Here is an 18,364-nt window from a genome sequence, read left to right as displayed (position 1 = left end):
GAATGAATGAATGGCTGAATGCCTAATTTATTAGGATTTCTTTTTAAGGCGATGAAAATGCTCTAAAATTGATTCTAGTGGTGGTTGTACGTATCTATGAATATACAAAAACCATTGAACTGCACACTTTAAAATGAGTGAATTGTATGATTGGGAAATAAAGCTGTTTAAAGAGAGACAGGCATGGCATTCCAGGTATCATAATGAAGAAGTTTGCTGTGTGCTCTCTGTGTGAGCAGGACACCAGAGCAACTCCCTTCATTATGATGACATTGGCTTGAAACCTGAATTAGCCGAGGCATCTACACAATGGTTATAAACCAGGGGCTCTAGAACCCGAGGACCAAGGTTCAAATCCCAAATGTACCACCTTCCAGTTGTGGATCCTTGGGAAAGTCACTAAATTTTGCTATATACATTTTTTATCTGCAAAATGGGGCTGACAATAGTACCAAACTCTAATGGTTATTGTGAGAATTAAATAGGCTGTTTCCTGTAAATGACTCAGCACAGAATATAGCCCCATGGTGAATGCTTAATATGCGGCCACTATTTTAATTTTTATTATGTTCTGGACTACTGGGGATGAGTTGCTGGAGAAAGTCAGAAGGCAGTGGTTATAGCCGGATCTCAAAGCCATTATTGCCCGTTAAAATTTACTTTGACTTGCTCAGGTCTGTCAAGGCAATCCCTCCCTATGCCTGATCCAACCCCTGCCCAGCCATTCTTTCACTGCTTTCGTCTTATTTCAGCAGTTCACAAATGAGGCAACCCCTCGAAATCATGTGGGGCTTGTTAAAAAGTAAATCCTGAGCCTCACATTTAGGTATTGGGCAGCAGTTCTTGAAGTCTGGTCCTGGGATCAGAAATATGAAAACACCAGCCCTACGAGAGATCTGTTGAAAATTTAAGGTAGACCCTAAAAATCTCTTCTAACAAGCTCTCCAGGTGATTCTGATTCATGCTCAAGTTGAGAATAACGGGCCTCGTTAGAATTTGATTTTCAATAAGCAATTCATGTGATTTTGATCTACTCATTGCATACAGTCACTGGGGACTGTTATCCTAGAACAACAGAATTACACTGAATCACCTATTATACAGTGATGGCTAAATCATCTATAGGCTTCCAACCTTACAAGCTGAAGCTGCTCAGAATTCTCTTATATGCACAGACCCTCAGCAAAGAAATAGACAGCTTATACAAATATCTCTTAAAACCCATTTCTTCTGGATACACTACCTTAATTTCTATCAAGCTTACTTATTTCTTTGGTTTTGGCATAAGCTTGTTTTCAAGGATATTTTGTTGCTAAATTTATCTAATCTATCTGTCACAAATATTTATTGTGTCCCTACTATGTATCAAGGAATCAACAAAAATGGAGAGAATGTCTCAATTCGTGAGAAAACATTTTGGAAAATAAAACTGATTATTAATGGTGAGGATGGCATTTCCTTTCATAGGGAGCCTTATGAATTGGGTAGCCAACATTCCGTGTTGGCCATTTAGGTACTGACTTTTCTAAATATAGGACAGTGTACTGTATAATTTTAAAAAAATTCTTACAAAGCCCAGTGCTACCAAAAAAAAAAAAAAAAAAAAAAAGGGAAAATTTGTTTGCAACATGTTCTTAATTTCTTAAACAAAGATAAGTGTTTTCTATTTGCTTATGAGATTTCAAAGATTCCCAAAAGCAATTATAAACTCAACATAAGTTAGTGAAAATAAAAATGATAAAATACAGCCTTATTGGCAGAAGACAGAGAAGCTTGGTAAAGATGTTAAGACAGTGGGGCTTATAAAAACAATAGTGTGATGGACACTGTGTCACCTAAACAATCTCTCAAGTTGGTGCCAGTCACACCCACCCTTGTCTCCTTTTAGTTATCCAAAAGTATCCAAAGTTTCCTATAAGGGAGTTCCAGTTGCACAAACATAAATCATGTTTCTCAGGCTCACCAGTTTAATATGTTCTCGCTTCTGGTATTTTTCACTATAATACTGTTCTTGCCGAAGATTAAGCAGCTGCTGCTGTTGTTTGTCCTTCAAGTCTATTAACTTTTGGGTCATTTCAGCATCCAGAGCAGCGAGGTCTTGCTCAATCGTTGATGAACCATGATCAGGGCTGCTGGGTTCCGATCTGCAAAGACACAGAGTTTGACTCACAAAACAGACAGGCCATAACAAGGTGGAGGGAAGGTTATTCACCAGAATTCCTCCTAGAGAAAGTTCTCTGTTTGGAAATACATATTTTCATAAGCCACTTGGGGTAGAGGGTGAGACCCCAAGGACAAGCTTAGCAATAGAGTGTCTCCAATCCCAGAGACTGAATGGAATTCATGGTGCTCTAGAAAGAGGCAGGGGCAGAAAGAAAAGCAAAGAGGCTGGGGGCCCTAGGCATGGCAGTGGTGAGAATAATAATCTCCGTTTGGGAAAAACAGTGTCTAATAAAAAATTTTCAGGTTTTAATCTTTTTTGTTATTTTAAAATGTGACAAGTGTAATGGCATTCCCAGTTACCTTTCCCGTATGAAAACTTCAGAGGACACTGCATTGAGCAGACTTTGTTAGAGGAAGCTAAAGATGTGCCTTGTTTAGCATCAGGGGTGATGATTATAAACAGAGAGCACGTGTAGATGCCGTGTGCAGATAACCCTCCTGGCTGACATCTGAGTTCTGTTTCTTAACAATTTTATTGTTGTTGTTGAGACAGAGTCTTGCTCTGTTGCCCAAGCTGGAGTGCAGTGGCATGATCTCAGCTCACTGCAACCTCCACCTCCCACGTTTGAGTGATTCTCCTGCCTCAGCCTCCTGAGTAGCTGGAACTACAAGCATGTGCCACCATACCTGGCTAATTTTTGTATTTTTATTAGAGATGAGGTTTCACCATGTTGGCTAGCATGGTCTCAAACTCTTGACCTCAAGTGATCTGCCCATCTCAGCCTCCCAGAGTGCTGGGATTACAGACGTGAGCCACCGTGCCCGGCCTCTTAACAAGATTTTTAACAGCAAAGACACACAATGAAAATAAGGCCCTTTGGAGGCTTCACCAACTTCACTGATATCTTTACCCAAATGGCACTTTCCACACAAAGCTTACAAGGGGAAAGAGATGCGTTAGTTCATTCTAAAATATTTCGAATGCTTCCTCTTAGCAGTATGACTTTCTCTGCATTGTTCTTAGAGAATTATACAAATATTTAGAAGGTTAGGGTGAATGTCAAAATAAATTAAAGTAATTATCATTAACTTATGGTGTGAGTCCTTCCAATTTTGTACTCTGTATTATCACCTGTAGGAAACAGTGGAAAGAAAGACAGAGTATTGGGAACAGGGTACAAAGAGTAGGTATGCTCTTTTCATTTATATGGAATCCCTTCCCGAAAGACTACCTAAGACATTCAACACATCAGACTCTGCCTCCATATTTTTCACTTGTGGTCCGATAGGCCAGGTAAAGTTTCTTAGAATCAGCTGTCAGTAATTCTGGTTGCTTTTTCTTTGAATTGGGCCAGCATCAGTGGCATCACATGGGGAAGGGAGTTGGTTGAAGCTGGTGTTAGAATCAGATTTTGTCAAATAAGGGATGCGGAATTTTCTCAAGTTTCTTTTTGCATTTTTATGTGCAATGCCAAATGAGGACGGACATTCTATAAGGCTCCTCACTGCAGTGTTGAGGGAAACTTTCCTCTTGGCATGACATAGTTAACATTGAATTATCTTTTTTCTTTTCTTTTCTTTCTTTTTTTGAGATGGAGTTTTGCTCTTGTAGCCCAGGCTAGAGTGCAATGGCACGATCTTAGCTCACCACAACTTCCGCCTTCCAGGTTCAAGTGATTCTCCTACCTCAGCCTCCGTAGCTGGGATTACAGGCATGCACCACCATGCCCGGCTAATTTTTTTATTTTTAGTAGAGACAGGGTTTCTCCATGTTGGTCAGGCTGGTCTCAAACTCCCAACCTCAGGTGATCCGCCCACCTCGGCCTCCCAAAGTGCTGGGATTACAGGCATGAGCCACCGCGCCCGGCCTGAATGATCTTATATAGCAGGAAATCATTGTAACCAGGGCATAAAGGCATTTCTTCAATCAGTTCCAACCACTCTAGCAGAGGTAGCTCTCATTGCCAACCATCCCCCCATATGCCGGGCACACTCGTATCCGAGTAAGTCGGTATACCCATCACCAGCTTACATTTGAGGAAACCACGGCTCTGTGAGATAATTGGCCAAGGACACAGCATGGAGGTGCAGTAGTGCAACTTGCCCAAGGTCAAAAATTACAGGGGCAGAAGGGCAACACCTGTGCTCTTAAGAGCAACACAGCATGACTGCATGCCATGTCTGGACCAAAACTATTTTTGAGTAACCTGTTCTTCACATTATGTAGAAAGCTCACTTGAGATGATGAATATTAAAGAAATTGGTGTGATTCATTCCAATTTTGTACTCTATATTATCATCTGTAGGAAACAGGGAAAGACAGAGTATTAGGAACAGGCCTGGTGTGCTGGTGGCTCACGCCTGTAATTCCAGCACTTTTGGGGGCCGAGGTGGGCAGATCACTTGAACCCAGAAGTTCAAAGTCAGCCTGGGTAGTGAGACCCCACCTCTAAAAAAAAAAAAAAAAAAAAAATTAACCGGGCCTAGTGGCATGCGACTAGTTCCAGCTACCCGGGAGTCTGTGGCAGGAGGATTGATTGAGCCCAGGAGGTCGAGACTGCAGTGAGTTGTGATCATGCCACTGCACTCCAGCCTGAGCAAAAGAGCAAGACCCTGTCGAAAGGAAGGAAGGAAGGAAGGAACGAAGGAAGGAAGGAAACAAATTCAATGTACATAATGCCCATCCATTCATTTATCTGAGGTGTTTTCAGGATTTTATTGCATATCAAGAGAGATGGAAGACAGGTAGACATAATCAGACCCACTGGCTTTGCCACTTGAAGAAAAGCTCCTCATGACGTATCTTTAGATACTATGTACTAAGGGATTTTTTGGTTTTGTTTTGTTTTAAAGGACAACACAAGAAAAAAACAAGTGAACAACGTCTCTGCATCTTCTATAAAAACAAAGTTGAAGGCATTATCCCCTCTGCTGCTTGTATAAGATCCATGAAATTAAATCTCTGGCAATTTAATACTAGGAAAACGCTTGTCTCTCTTGGAAGAGTCAGCAAGTTTCCTTTAATCAGATGAGGAGAATTATCAAACCCATACTCCTTTTCTCAGAAGCTAAGAGCTGAATTCAGTGTTCAAGGACAGAGATGACATTAAATGGCTGGCGCTGTCTGGTAGAAACAGAATGAGAACCACATATGTGATTCCCTTCACATATGTAATTTCAAACTATTAGTAGTCACTTTAAAAAGTAAAAATAAGTGAGTGAAATTAATTTTAATAATATATTTTATTTAACTTAATATATCCAAAATATCATTTCAACATGTAATTAAAATCAACAGATATGTTGTAGCTATTTTACATTCTTTTTTAAAAAAGTGAAGTCTTAGATATCTGGTGTGTATTTTGTAGTTATAACACATCTCACGAGCAATATTTCAAGGACTCAAGAGCCACTGGTAGGTAGCTAGTGGCTCCTGTATTGGGCAGCAGGTCTAGATAATTTGTCCAAAGCTTAGTCTACGCATGTGTGTTGTTTCTCTTTCTATTTTCATGGGATTTTTACATACAAATCTTCTATGATGTTACCTTCAATATTCTACTGGAAGTTTGCAGGATATGACTTACAAGTAAATACAAAAATGAATAAACAAATATGTACAGTGAAAGGAAAATAAATCTTGGGGCCCCAAATCACTAAGCTAAAGGGAAAAGTCAAGATGGGAATGGTTTAGGGCCAACCTGCCTCCCATTCTATTCAAAGTCATGCCTCTGCTCACTGAGATAAATGCATATCTGATTGTCTCCTTCCAAGAGGCTAATCAGAAACTCAGAAGAATGCAACCATTTGTCTCTTATCTACCTATGACCTGGAAACCCCCTCCCGGCTTCCCATCTTCCTGCCTTTGCTTCGAGTTGTCCCGCCTTTCCAGATAGAACCAGTGTTCATCTTGCATAGGTTGAGTGATGTCTCATGTCTCCCTAGAATGTATAAAAACAAACTGCTCTGAACACCTTGGGCACATGTCATCTGGACCTCCTGAGGCTGTCACAGGCGCATGTCCTGAACCTTGGAAAAATGAACTTACTAAATAAACTTGCTAAATTAACTGTCTCAGATTTTTGGGGTTCATAGTACATAAGACTAAAGCAGAAATTCAGGAGAAGTTTTAGGCCAAGCTTTGCTTGAACTGGCTGTGTAACTACAGGTAAATGGTAATACCTTTAGCTTTCAGCTTCCTCCTTGAAAAAGTGACAAATATCACCTAGATGGCCTTTAAGGATCCTCCAGGCTTAAGAAATGATGATTTTGGCTGGGCGTGGTGGCTCACGCCTGTAATCCCAGCACTTTGGGAGGCCGAGGTGGGCGGATCACGAGGTCAGGAGATCGAGGCCATCCTGGCTAACACAGTGAAACCCCGTCTCTACTAAAAATACAAAAAATTAGCTGGGCGTGGTGGCGGGCGCCTATAGTCCCAGCTACTCAGGAGGCTGAGGCAGGAGAATGGCATGAACCCGGGAGGCGGAGCTTGCAGTGAGCCGAGATCGCACCACTGCACTCCAGCCTGGATGACAGAGTGAGACTCCATCTCAAAAACAAAAAACAAAAAAAAAAGAGATGATTTTATTACTTTTTAAAGCCCAAGTATTAGGTTTTGATAGTGCTTTCAATTTAAGCATGTGTTAAATCATATGTCACAATATAAATCTAAAAAATGCATCTTATCTCTATAACTTGGCATCAAAAGAAGATTATTCAGTAAAGGAAGGATGTAATATGTCTTATACTTTGCTCATTGACAGGTCACTTACATACTTACATAGTTTCAGGGTAATTAATAAAGTTTTCAGTTAAAGAATGAAATTTTATTTCTCAGTGGCAATTATTATCAGTCAAGCTTTTGAGATAATCTTTACTGAGACAGCTGATGACAATGATTCCAAAAAAGTTTTCAGTAAATGTACAACCAATTCTACATAAGATTTCCTAGAGCTGTGAAGGTCGTTGGATTATCTTTGGCAATACGTTGTCCATTGGTTAGCCAACATATGAAAAATAGGCTATCTGATAAGAGTAATTTATATACTATAGTATAGAAAATTAAGTGGAGCAATAATTTAAACTTAAAAGGCTTTTTTTCACTTCTTTTGATGCTACAATTCATTAAAATGCTATATATATATATAGAAATAGAACTAAGGGATACTTTTGCTTTTGAAAGTTATGTCTTCTAAACGATACACTTTTTTTTAAAACCACAAATAACATTTTATTTTAAAAATAAAATGTTAATTTTTATTTTAAAAATGTTATGAGTTGATGTTTAAAGATACTTAAGAGCAATGTCTTACACAACGCTCTGTTAATGCTCACTAAATATCTGAAATTAAAAATATTCTTGACAGCTAAATAAGCCCTGAGGAAGACAAGAACTGTCTGTGACCTCAAAAGATAGCAACAAAATTTAAATCCACTGCATTTATTTCCATTTCCCTAATTATTCAACTTTGAAGAAAAGATTTTTATGTAAAAATTAATGCTGTTGATTAGAGAACTTCATGTTGCAAAACATTATTTATTGTCAAGAAGTTCATACTATATACCTGCAAAAGATATTCAAAGAAATTTCAGGAATCTAAATTTAGAAGAGAAATCTCCTAACATTAGGGATAGTTAACGAGGGAATTTATTTGGGCATATTTATTTCATGCATCTGTTTGTTTTGTTGTATAGAGATAGAAGATTATAAGTATACGGACCAGAAGCAGTCACAGGTCTACAGAGATGCAGATTCCAGATCTGCTATGTCATCTGACACAAGTAGTATCTCAGGGGGCACCACGCCATGACCTCACTGTCACTATGGCCTTGTGTGTTGCATGTGCCCCTGGCCAGGTTACTTGGCCTCAATGAGTTTTAGGTCCTCTCTTATCCAATGTGGGTGATGCCTGTACTTACTTCACAGTGCTGCTGTGAGAAATATATGGAATAGTACATAGAAGTGATTAGCACATGTACTGGGTTAAATAACATCCCGGTAAACTTCAGGTTCTGCCCAGAACCTCAGCCTGTGATCTAATTTGGAAAGAGGTTGTTGCAAATGTAATAGAATGAGGTCATGGTGGATTAGGGTGGACCTGAATCTAATGCCTGGTGTCTGTCATTAGAAGAGGGAAATTTGGACCAAGACACACCTACGCAGGGAGAATTCATGTGATAATGGAGGTAGAGACTGGAGTGATATGTCTGTCAGCCAAGGAATGCCAAAGATTGCCAGCAACCACCAGAAGTTAGAAGAAACAAAAAAAAAAGTTTCTTCCCCTAGACTTTTCAGAGAGCGCATAGTCCACTAACACCTTGATTTTGTTTTTTTGTTTTGTTTTGTTTTGTCTTGAGACAGAGTCCTTCTCTGTTGCCCAGGCTGGAGTGCAGTGGCACCATCTCGGCTCACTGCAACCTCCATCTCCTGGTTCAAGCAATCCTCCTACCTCAGCCTCCCAAGTAGCTGGGATTACAGGTGTGTGCCACCATGCCTGGCTAATTTTCATATTTTTAGTAGAGATGGGGTTTCACCATGTTGCCCAGGCTGGTCTCAAGTGATCCTCCCACCTTAGCCTCCCAAAGTGCTGGGATTACAGGAGTGAGCCATTGCGCCCAGCCAACACCTTGATTTTGAATTCCTAGCCTCCAAAACTGTGAGAAAATACATTTTTATTGTTTTAAGCCATCCAGTTTGCTGTACTTTTTACAGCAATCCTAGGAAACTGATATGACACATATGCCCAGTACTTTGTTGACACTCAATGAAATGCTATTCCAGAACTGGGAACAGCCCTCGACAGGGTTCAAGAGAGGAAGCCCCCTGTGGTCCGCCAGACCCTGTGTCCACAAAGTCCCATGATAAGCTATGATGCGCAGTCCACATGTGGGGTTCTGAGAGCGGGTGACACTCTGAAATCCACACGGCAACCTCACATTTGGAAGCAGGTCTTTGTTGGAGTTTAGAGGCAGCGTCTGCATTGTTCACACAAGAGTCTTGCAATTGAAGAAGGGCCCTGAGCCCAGAGAATCCTAACTGCCCTATCTCATCATGGTGGGAACTCGGCAGAAAGTACAGGTTTTCATATGAAGTGCTGGGAGATGGCAGCTGGGAAGGGAGGCAGGGATTAGACCAAAGAAAGCCTTTCAGCCACCCTTCAATTTCTAGGATGCTCCTGAATGATTATAGACCAGGGCCCATCAGTGGAAAGTCTGTGGACCAGCAGCATCAGCAAACCTTAGGAGCTCGTTAGAAGCTCAGAAGCTCAGTCCCTACCGAAGGAGGCCCCTGAGGCAGAAACTCTAGGGTCAGGTCCCGAGGGTCTGTGTTTAGCAAATGCTGCAAGTGATTCACATGCACACTGAAATTTGAGATGCACTGATCTAGGCTAGATAATGGAGTTTCATGAACACATTTGGTGTGGGTAACAGCATGAGTTTCATTCTCTAAAGGACACCTGGGAATTGCAGAGACATACAAGCAGGCTTCTCTCTTCCAGGCCTCTGACCCCATATTTTACGATCTTTTTAAAACAAATCAAGAATTCATCCCCTTCTCTCCATGTCTACCAGCGTCATCCTAGACCAAACCACCATCATTACTCAGCTGGACTCATGAAAAAGTTTCCTAACTGGTCTCCTGCTTTCACTCTGAGTCCTTGATCTTCACTACTCAGAGTGTTGTCCATGGAACTGCAGAATCAGCATCACCTGGTGCTGCTCAGGCCCCAATTCAGACATGGAGCAGAACCTGCACCTAACAAGATCCCCAGTGACTCATGTCCATTTGAGATGCACAGCTTGAGGGTCCCTCTTCCACACAGCAGCTAGAGTCATTGCTCTGAGACTCTCAAATTTCGCCATATCAATTTCTTTCTTCAGTAGAATCTTATTGCACGTTCGATACATTTTGAACTGTTGCTTGCTCTAGCTCTAAAGAACCTAGCAGTGGGATTCCCTCCTGTTTCTCTGATCTCATCCTGTTTCACTCCTCTCATGGTTTACAATGTTTCACCCACTTTGCCAGCTTTACTGTTCCTGGCACAAGCACATTTTTTTCCTGCCTGAGGGCCTTTGCACTTGCTGTTTCCTCAGCCTGGAGTAAGTCTCCCTAGTTCTTTCCATAGCTGACCAGGCTTTATTCTTTCTGTGCCACCTTATTGCAGATCAACATGTCAGAAGGGATCTCCTATCTCCAGTCATTCTCTACCCCATGGTCCTGTTTCTTTCTTTCCTTGATAGTCCTCATCACAGCCTGAGATGATGCTGTGTGTTTGTTGTTTATTATTTATGTTTCCCACATTACCATGTTACTATTTGAGATGATTGGGTAGGTCATGTTTATTGCTGTGTCCCCAGGGCACAGTAGGCACTCAAAAAATATTAATTAAGTGAATGTGTGAGAGATGCTTCTCATCATCAAGGTTTGGGTATATGGGGCTGTGGGAACCCAGGCCCAAATTAGAGTCACCTGTGTAGGGCATTATGGATTTCAGACAGGGTAGCAAAGGATAGTAAGCTTCTCTTTTCTATAAGACCAGTTGTGGGCAGGCATGGTGGCTCATGCCTGTAATCCCAGCACTTTGGGAGGCCGAGGCAGGCAGATCGCTTGAGGCCAGGAGTTCAAGACCAGCTGGGCAACCTGGTGAAACCCCATCTCTACTAAAAATACAAAAATTCGCCAGGCGTAGTGGCGTAATCCCAGCTTCTTGGGAGGCTGAGGCACAAGAATCACTTAAACTCTGGAGACAGAAGTTGCAGTGAGCCGAGATGATGTCACTGCACTCCAGTCTGGGTGACAGGGCAAGACTCTGTCTCAAAAAAAAAAATCAGCTGCCTCTCCAACTAGGTTCTAGGTACTCCAGGCAAAGTCTCATACCCATGAGATTGGCAGCTGTAATATAGGAAGTTAGTTAACTGGAATTGGGATCGCAGGCTAGACTCACAGGAGGACTTCCTGCATATTTATTCTCAGAATTTGGTTAAATAAAAAAATTCAATTCACAAGCAAATCTGGGCTAAGGTGCCACAAAAGCTATGGAGAACGGAGGTTAGGTGGTTTTCTTGCCATGGTACAGGTCCAAAAATATGATATAAAACATTAAAAATCCATGTTAACAACTCTTCATGCTATGAAACCAACTAAAAATATTCATTGAACTTACTTTTTCTTACTGTCCTTTTTGGCGGACTTTTCCAAAGCGGCTCTCCTTCTCAAGTAGTCATTCTGAATTTCATTATACTTGGTAGTGTGTTCTTTGATAAGGTCAGTGGTTTTCTTGTGGTGTCTCTTAACCAGGTCTTTCATTTCTTTGTAGTGTTTCTTTTGAAGTTTCACAAACGATTTCTGTTGCTTTAGTTCTTCGATGGTCTGTGCTTCCACTTCTGCAACAAATGAATATGAAAGCTAAGGGAATGGGAGGGCTGAACATCCAGATGGAAAGAAGAGCGGCTACCTTCTTAGGAAGAAATGGTTGATCTTGCCCAGCTAGAGTTTAAGAGCAAAGCTTGATGTCAGCTCTACCTGGGTTCCAGTCTGGCTCTATCACTTGCTAACTTTGAGACTATGTTACTAAACTTCTCAGAGACCCAATTGCTTCATTCGAATACATATATTTTTAGTTTGGGTTCCCTAGAAGCAGAATGCAAGATGGGGATTCAGGTGCACGTGATTTACTGAGGGACTCTCAGAGTAGGGGAGCCAGGAAAGCAGACGGGGCTGGGGAAGGAGCTGAGCAAGGGTGTGGTCTCAGAAGGATGGAGTCTGGTCTCTGCCTGATCCCATGGGGAAGTGCTGGAGTGTGAGTTGTACCACTGAGCTGGTCTCATCTTGAGGCAAGAAGGCAAGCTTCTTGCATATTTGGAACATTCAGTGCAGGGAGGCATAACCATCTGGAGAGGGGGCTTCCTTTTGGTTGAGGGCAATTTTGCAGAGAAGGAGAAGTTATGAGCTGTTAACAGCCAACCCTCACCACCAGCCAGGAGACGGGTGCACCAGCTGTACAAGGAATCTGGGCAGGGCACCAACAGCATTGCTATAAGGATTATAATACTTCTATAACTTTATAGGGTTGTTAAGATGATGAAATAAAAGAACTCATGGAAAGTATTTAACTCAGTTTCTGGCACTGTGCCTGTGGAGGCTTAGAAAATAACTGTGCAGGTTCTACAACATCATTTCTAAAAGGTATCATTTACAGTATAAACATCATAAGCTGGTACATTTATCATAAAAGCATATAGCAGTAAAGTGTCTTGAGGGAAGATACCTTAATATAATTTGCACAAAGTCACCAGAGGCTTACTAGCAGCCCACTTTACTATATTATTATGATTATGATTACTATTTTCTTTTTTGAGACAGAGTCTTGCTCTGTTGCGCAGGCTGGAGTGCAGTGGCGTGATCTCAGCTCACTGCAACCTCCACCTCGCGGGTTCAGGTGATTCTCATGTCTCAGCCTCCCAAGTAGCTGGGATTACAAGCATGCACCAACATGCCCGGATAATTATTTTCTATTTTTTATGGAGACGGGGTTTCGCCATGTTGGCCAGCCTGGTCTCAAACTCCCAGCCTCAAGTGATCTGCCCTCCTCGGCTTCCCAAAGTGCTGGGATTTCCAGGCATGAGTCACCATGCCTGGCTGATTTTTTTATCCCATGCTGAGAAAACTTTGAATGTGATAGAGTCTGACCTTAAAACATTCTGGGCCAAGTGCATTGGCTCATGCCTGTAATCCCAGCACTTTGGGAGGCCGAGGCAGGATCACCTGAGGTCAGGAATTCGAGACTAGCCTGGCCAACATGGTGAAACCCCATCTCTACTAAAAATACAAAAATTAGGCCAGGTGTGGTGGCGCATGCCTGTAAGTCCAGCACTTTGGGAGGCCAAGGTGGGTGGATATCTGAGGTCAGGAGTTCGAGACCAGCCTGGCCAACATGGCAAAACTCCTGTCTCTACTAAAAACACAAAAATTAGCTGGGCATGGTGGCACATGCCTATAATCCCAGCTGCTCGAGAGGCTGAGGCAGGAGAATTGCTTGAACCTGGGAAGCAGAGGTTGCAGTGAGCCAAGATTGTGCCACTGCACTCCAGCCTGGGTGGCAGAGTTAGACTCTTGTCTCTAAATAAATAAATAAATAAATAAAAATGCAAAAATTAGCCAGGTGTGGTGGCAGGCACCTGTAATCCCAGCCACTCGGGAGGCTGAGGCAGGAGAATCACTTGAACCCGGGAGACGGAGGTTTCAATGAGCCGCGATCACATCATTGCTCTGCAGCCTGGGCGACAGGGTGAGACTCCGTCTCAAAACAAAACAAAACTAATCTGTATTTTACTGATATATTCAATCAATTCTAGAATGTGCATTTAAAAAATATGTTAACATTTCCGAAATCAAGATGCATCTTATGGTTGGTGGGGTATGATGGTTGGTCAGTGCTTTTCTTTTTTAGCAATACATGAACGTAGGATGCTTTACAACTGATGGTATCTTAACTCCAGTGAATTATCATTTATATGGACCTAGATCAAGTCATAGTTCACATGTTTCCATGGTTTGAATTGAATGTCCTGCTTCTGGGAACAAAAAATGTTACCATAAATATTTGAAACTATCAAGAGATTCAGAAATAATATATGCTGTGAATAACAAGAGACCTGAATAGAAAATAAGATGTCTAGTGAATAAACATTGAGACTAGAATAATAAGTTATGTTATTAAATGTTAAGGTCTTTAAGCAATAGAAATATGTTTCCTTTTCTTATACTGTGTCTATTCTCCTGACATTCGATCTCTTTTGAGAATGAGGCCATGGAGAAAACCAGGTACATTTATTTAATGGTTTCCTTCAGGCCCAAATTGACTCATTATGGTTGCATAATAAATTATTACATTAAGAATTTATAATCCCAAGGAATTGCTGCATTCTTGGAGGCAGATGCAATTCTATTTCTTTAAAAGTGGTTTACAGCATATCAGCTATAGGCAGTTTGGAAATAAGGCTCTAGATGTTCTAACCTACGATTAGAAATAAATCCACATAAACTATTATTTTTAAAAAGTCTGTAGATGAGAGAGGCTGTTCCTTAGACTATGCTCTTAAGTATAAAGGTAATGCTCACTTATATAAAGACACAAATATCATTTATAAATAAGCCACCAAGATATAATCACAGCTAATGTATTGGTACAGACCATTGCCTTTTGTCCATTCATTTACGTTATTTTAAACAACATTCTAGGAACACTGCTGTCTCTTGTTGTATGCATTAATATGGTGTTGTTTCCCATGAAACTAAATCTTTCTTTTTTTGAGACAGAGTTTCGCGCTTGTTGCCCAGGCTGGAGTGCAATGGCGCAACCTTGGCTCACGGCAACCTCCGCCTCCTGGGTTCAAGCGAATTTCCTGCCTCAGCTTCCTGAGTAGCTGGGATTATAGGTGCGCGCCACCACAGCGGTTAATTTTGTAATATTTAGTAGAGATGGGGTTTCTCCATGTTGGTCAGGCTGGTCTCGAACTCCCGACCTCAGGTGATCCGCCCCCCCCTTGGCCTCCCCAGGTACTGGGATTACAGGCGTGAGCCACCACACCCAGCCTAGAACTAAATCTTTTAAAAACATGTTTTGTTGGGAGGGGCACAGTGGCTCACGCCTGTAATCCCAAAACTTTGGGAGGCCGAGGCGGGTGGATCACCTGAGGTCAGGAGTTCGAGACCAGCCTGGCCAACGTGGCGAATCACCGTCTCTACTAAAAATAGCGGGTGGATCACCTGAGGTCAGGAGTTCGAGACCAGCCTGGCCAACGTGGAGAATCACCGTCTCTACTAAAAATACAAAATTAGCCGGGTGTGGTGGCACGTGCTTGTAATCCTAGCTATTTGGGAGGCTGAGGCAGGAGAATTGCTTGAACCCGGGAGGTGGAGGTTGCGGTCAGCCGAGATTGTACCACTGTGTTCCAGCCTGGGTGGCAGAGTGAGACTTTGTCTCAAAAACAAAACAAAACCAAACCATGTTTTGTTTTCTTTTAATACTTTCCTCAAGTAATTTTTCTACGCATATTTTATGCATTTCTTGATGAAATGCAAATATACGCATCAAAGTGCATAAATCATAAAAGTATAGCCTTGTAAATTTTCCCAAAGTCAATGTGCTTCAATATCCATCACTTAGGTCAAAGTTAGAATTTGGCCAGCATCCCAGAAGCCTTCCTTTTTGGTTCCTGTCTCCCACCAAGTATAATCCAAATCCAGGTTTCTACAGCACAGATTAGTTTTGTCTTTGAAGTTGGTGTATATGGAATCCTACAGAATATGTTCTTTTGTGTCTGACTTTTTTCCTCAACATTATGCTTGAGTTTTATCCATGTTGTGTGTGACTTGAGTTTATTTATTCCTGCAGTTGCCTCCTGTTCCATGCTAGGAATTTATCACAATTTATTTACCTACCTTACAGCTGATGGACATTGGGTTGTTTCTAGATTTGGCCCTTACCAGTGGTGCTGCTTTTGGTGAACGTGTGTGTACATTTCTGTTGTATATTGAACCAAGTATTATAAACATTTTTAAGATTCCACTACATACTGCTAATTGTACTGCACAAAGCTTGTACCAATTTTAGTTCCACTAGTTTATGTGACTAACCAAATATAAAATAACTCCAAACTGTATCACAGTTCTTAAACACTGTGCATTTTATGCTCACAAATGGATCATATTCTGCATATCTAAAATATAGTTTATTATTGGCAATTTGGGAAGACAGGCATTCTTGTTCACTGGGTTACATTTCCAGCATGAAACTATTCTTTGATGCTGAAATAGCTATCTTGTGAAACTACATTATTTTTATGCCAGTAGGGTTCTAGCTACAAAGTATGGTTACTTCTCTGTGATTATATCATATCATGTAGACTAAACTAAAAGTGTATGTCTCTAGATTTTTTAGAAGAAGAAATATTAATGATGTTGTTTTTCAGATATGAATGGAAATTTCCTCTCCTCTAAATACTTCCACTGTGTAACACTGAGCTGCTTAATTCCATGGGGGGAAAGGGTGGCATTTACCTGTTAAGACACTCTGAATAAGATCTTCTGTTTTGGCAGGTGCCTTTACAGAACCTGTAATATAAAAGATAAAATAAATAGCCTCTTCAACTTTTTAAATTTTATTCTTCCTGTAAACAAACAAACATATTTGGGCCTTGAATCTAAATCTCTTTTCAGAGAAATGACAAATTGTGTGAGAAAATTCTTTATAAAAATTATTCTTAAAAAGTCTTCATTTGCAGCTTTGAGACAAACCTAATTAAATGTAACATTAGGCCAGGTGCAGTGGCTCATTCCTGTAATCCCGGCACTTTGGGAGGCCGAGGCAGGCGGATCACTTGAGGTCAGGAGTTCAAGACCAGCCTGGCAATATGGTGAAACCCTGTCTCTACTAAAAATACAAAAATTAGCGGAGCATGGTGGCGGGTACTTGTAATCCCAGCTACCTGGTTGGCTGAAGCAGAAGAATCACTTGAAGCCAGGAGGTGGAGTTTGCAGTGGACTGAGATCATGCCACTGCACTCCACCCTATGTGACAGATTGAGTGAAAGTCTGTCTCCAAAAAAAAAAAAAAAAAAAAAATGTGATATTATATGCCCCATTTATAACGAGAGAAAAGAGAAAAGACATCCACTTGGAACAAATTCAGTTTAGGCAATGCTATCGCCATCTTCTGGCTAAATCAGGAATGACAAGTGACCTTTTAAAAGTCAAACGCTGGGAGGCCAAGGTAGATGGATCAGCTGAGGTCAGGAGCTCGACACCAGCCTGACCAACATGGCGAAACCCCGTCTCTACTAAAAATATAAAATTAGCCGGGTGTGATGGTGCACGCCTGTAATCCCAGCTACTTGGGAGGCTGAGGCAGGAGAATCGCTTGAACCCAGGAGGCAGAGGTTGCAGTGAGCTGAGATCACACCATTGCACTCCAGCCTGGGCAACAAGAGCCAAACTCTGTCTCAAAATAAAATAAAGTAAAATAAAAATAAAAGTCAAATGTTGACCACTAGGCAGTAATAACTGTTACAGGAAAGATCCATTGGTGAATGTTAAAAATCAGTAAGCAAAAGTTTAAGGAAGAACAGGATATTTGCATAGTCTCAAAGTAGCTCTCCCAATATATCTAAGAGGGGAAAATAATAACTTTCAGTGGAGAAACCACCTTAACCAAGTGATCCCATATCATCAGTGATGAGACCCAGCAACATCATATATCCGTGATGTGATGCACTGAGAAAGGCGAGTATCACTTGCATGGTGCTCTTGTCAAAATGCATGCCCTCAACCTAATCATGGGGAAACATCGGACCAACCCAGACTGAGGGATGTTCAACAAAATAACTGACCAGAGTTCTTCCAAAGTACCAAGGTTATGAAAGACAGGAAAGACTGTGGGACTGCCATAGATTAAAGGAGACTAAAGAATCATGACAATAAAATACAATTTGGGATCCTGCGTTGGAATCTTGAACAGTAAAAGGACATTACTGTAGAAAGCAGGTTAGTCCAAATAAATTGTGCAGTTTAGGTCAGAGTATCATGCCAATGTTACTTTCCTGGTTTTGATGATTGCCCCATGATCCCGTGAGATGTTAACTTTAGGGGAAGAAGAGGTTATTTTTGCAATGTATTCTGTGCCATTTAAAAAATATTTTCTGTAAGTTCAATTATTCCAAAATATCAAGTTAAAAAAATTAAATGTGAAAATGCTAAATTCTCTTTTACTTTCAGGAACACATGACTATTTACTCACACATTTAAATGATGGATTTATATTTCAGAAGCATTCAAGATGTTTGTATTTGGTATATAAAACTCTTTATTTGAAAATTTACTTCTTGTTTATAACGTCATCTTCTTACTATTATTGACTTTGGCAACTTTTTTTTTTTCTTTTTGAGATGGAGCCTCGCTCTGTCACTCAGGCTGGAGTGCAGTGGTGCGATCTCAGCTTACTGCACCTCCGCCTCCTGGGTTCAAGCAATTCTCCTGCCTCAGCCTCCTGAGTTGCTGGAACTACAGGCATGCACTACCATGCCAGGCTAACTTATGTATTTTTAGTAGCGATGGGGGTTTCACCATGTTGGCCAGGTTGGTCCTGAACTGCTGACCTCAAGTGATCCACCTGCCTCAACCTTCCAAAGTACTGGGATTACGGGC

The 18,364-nt window shown here is 41.2% G+C and overlaps 1 protein-coding gene across 2 annotated transcripts in view; it reads right to left on the bottom strand.

Annotated features, from left to right (window-relative positions):
• PLCB1 (phospholipase C beta 1) overlaps positions 1-18,364 on the bottom strand; it is a 752,635-nt gene that overhangs the window by 108,218 nt on the left and 626,053 nt on the right. For both annotated transcript variants that reach the window (NM_182734.3, NM_015192.4), the window contains exons 25-27: positions 16,223-16,276; positions 11,325-11,544; positions 1,964-2,144 (exon numbers count right to left, since the gene is read on the bottom strand). In NM_182734.3, the coding sequence (NP_877398.1) occupies positions 1,964-2,144; positions 11,325-11,544; positions 16,223-16,276 (455 nt within the window). The remainder of the gene's footprint in view (positions 1-1,963; positions 2,145-11,324; positions 11,545-16,222; positions 16,277-18,364) is intronic.

This window comes from Homo sapiens, chromosome 20 (assembly GCF_000001405.40).
Source record: "Homo sapiens chromosome 20, GRCh38.p14 Primary Assembly".
NCBI classification, from domain to species: domain Eukaryota; kingdom Metazoa; phylum Chordata; class Mammalia; order Primates; family Hominidae; genus Homo; species Homo sapiens.
The sequence above is the reverse complement of the archived record's forward strand: the minus strand, read 5'-3'. Positions and strand labels throughout refer to the sequence as shown.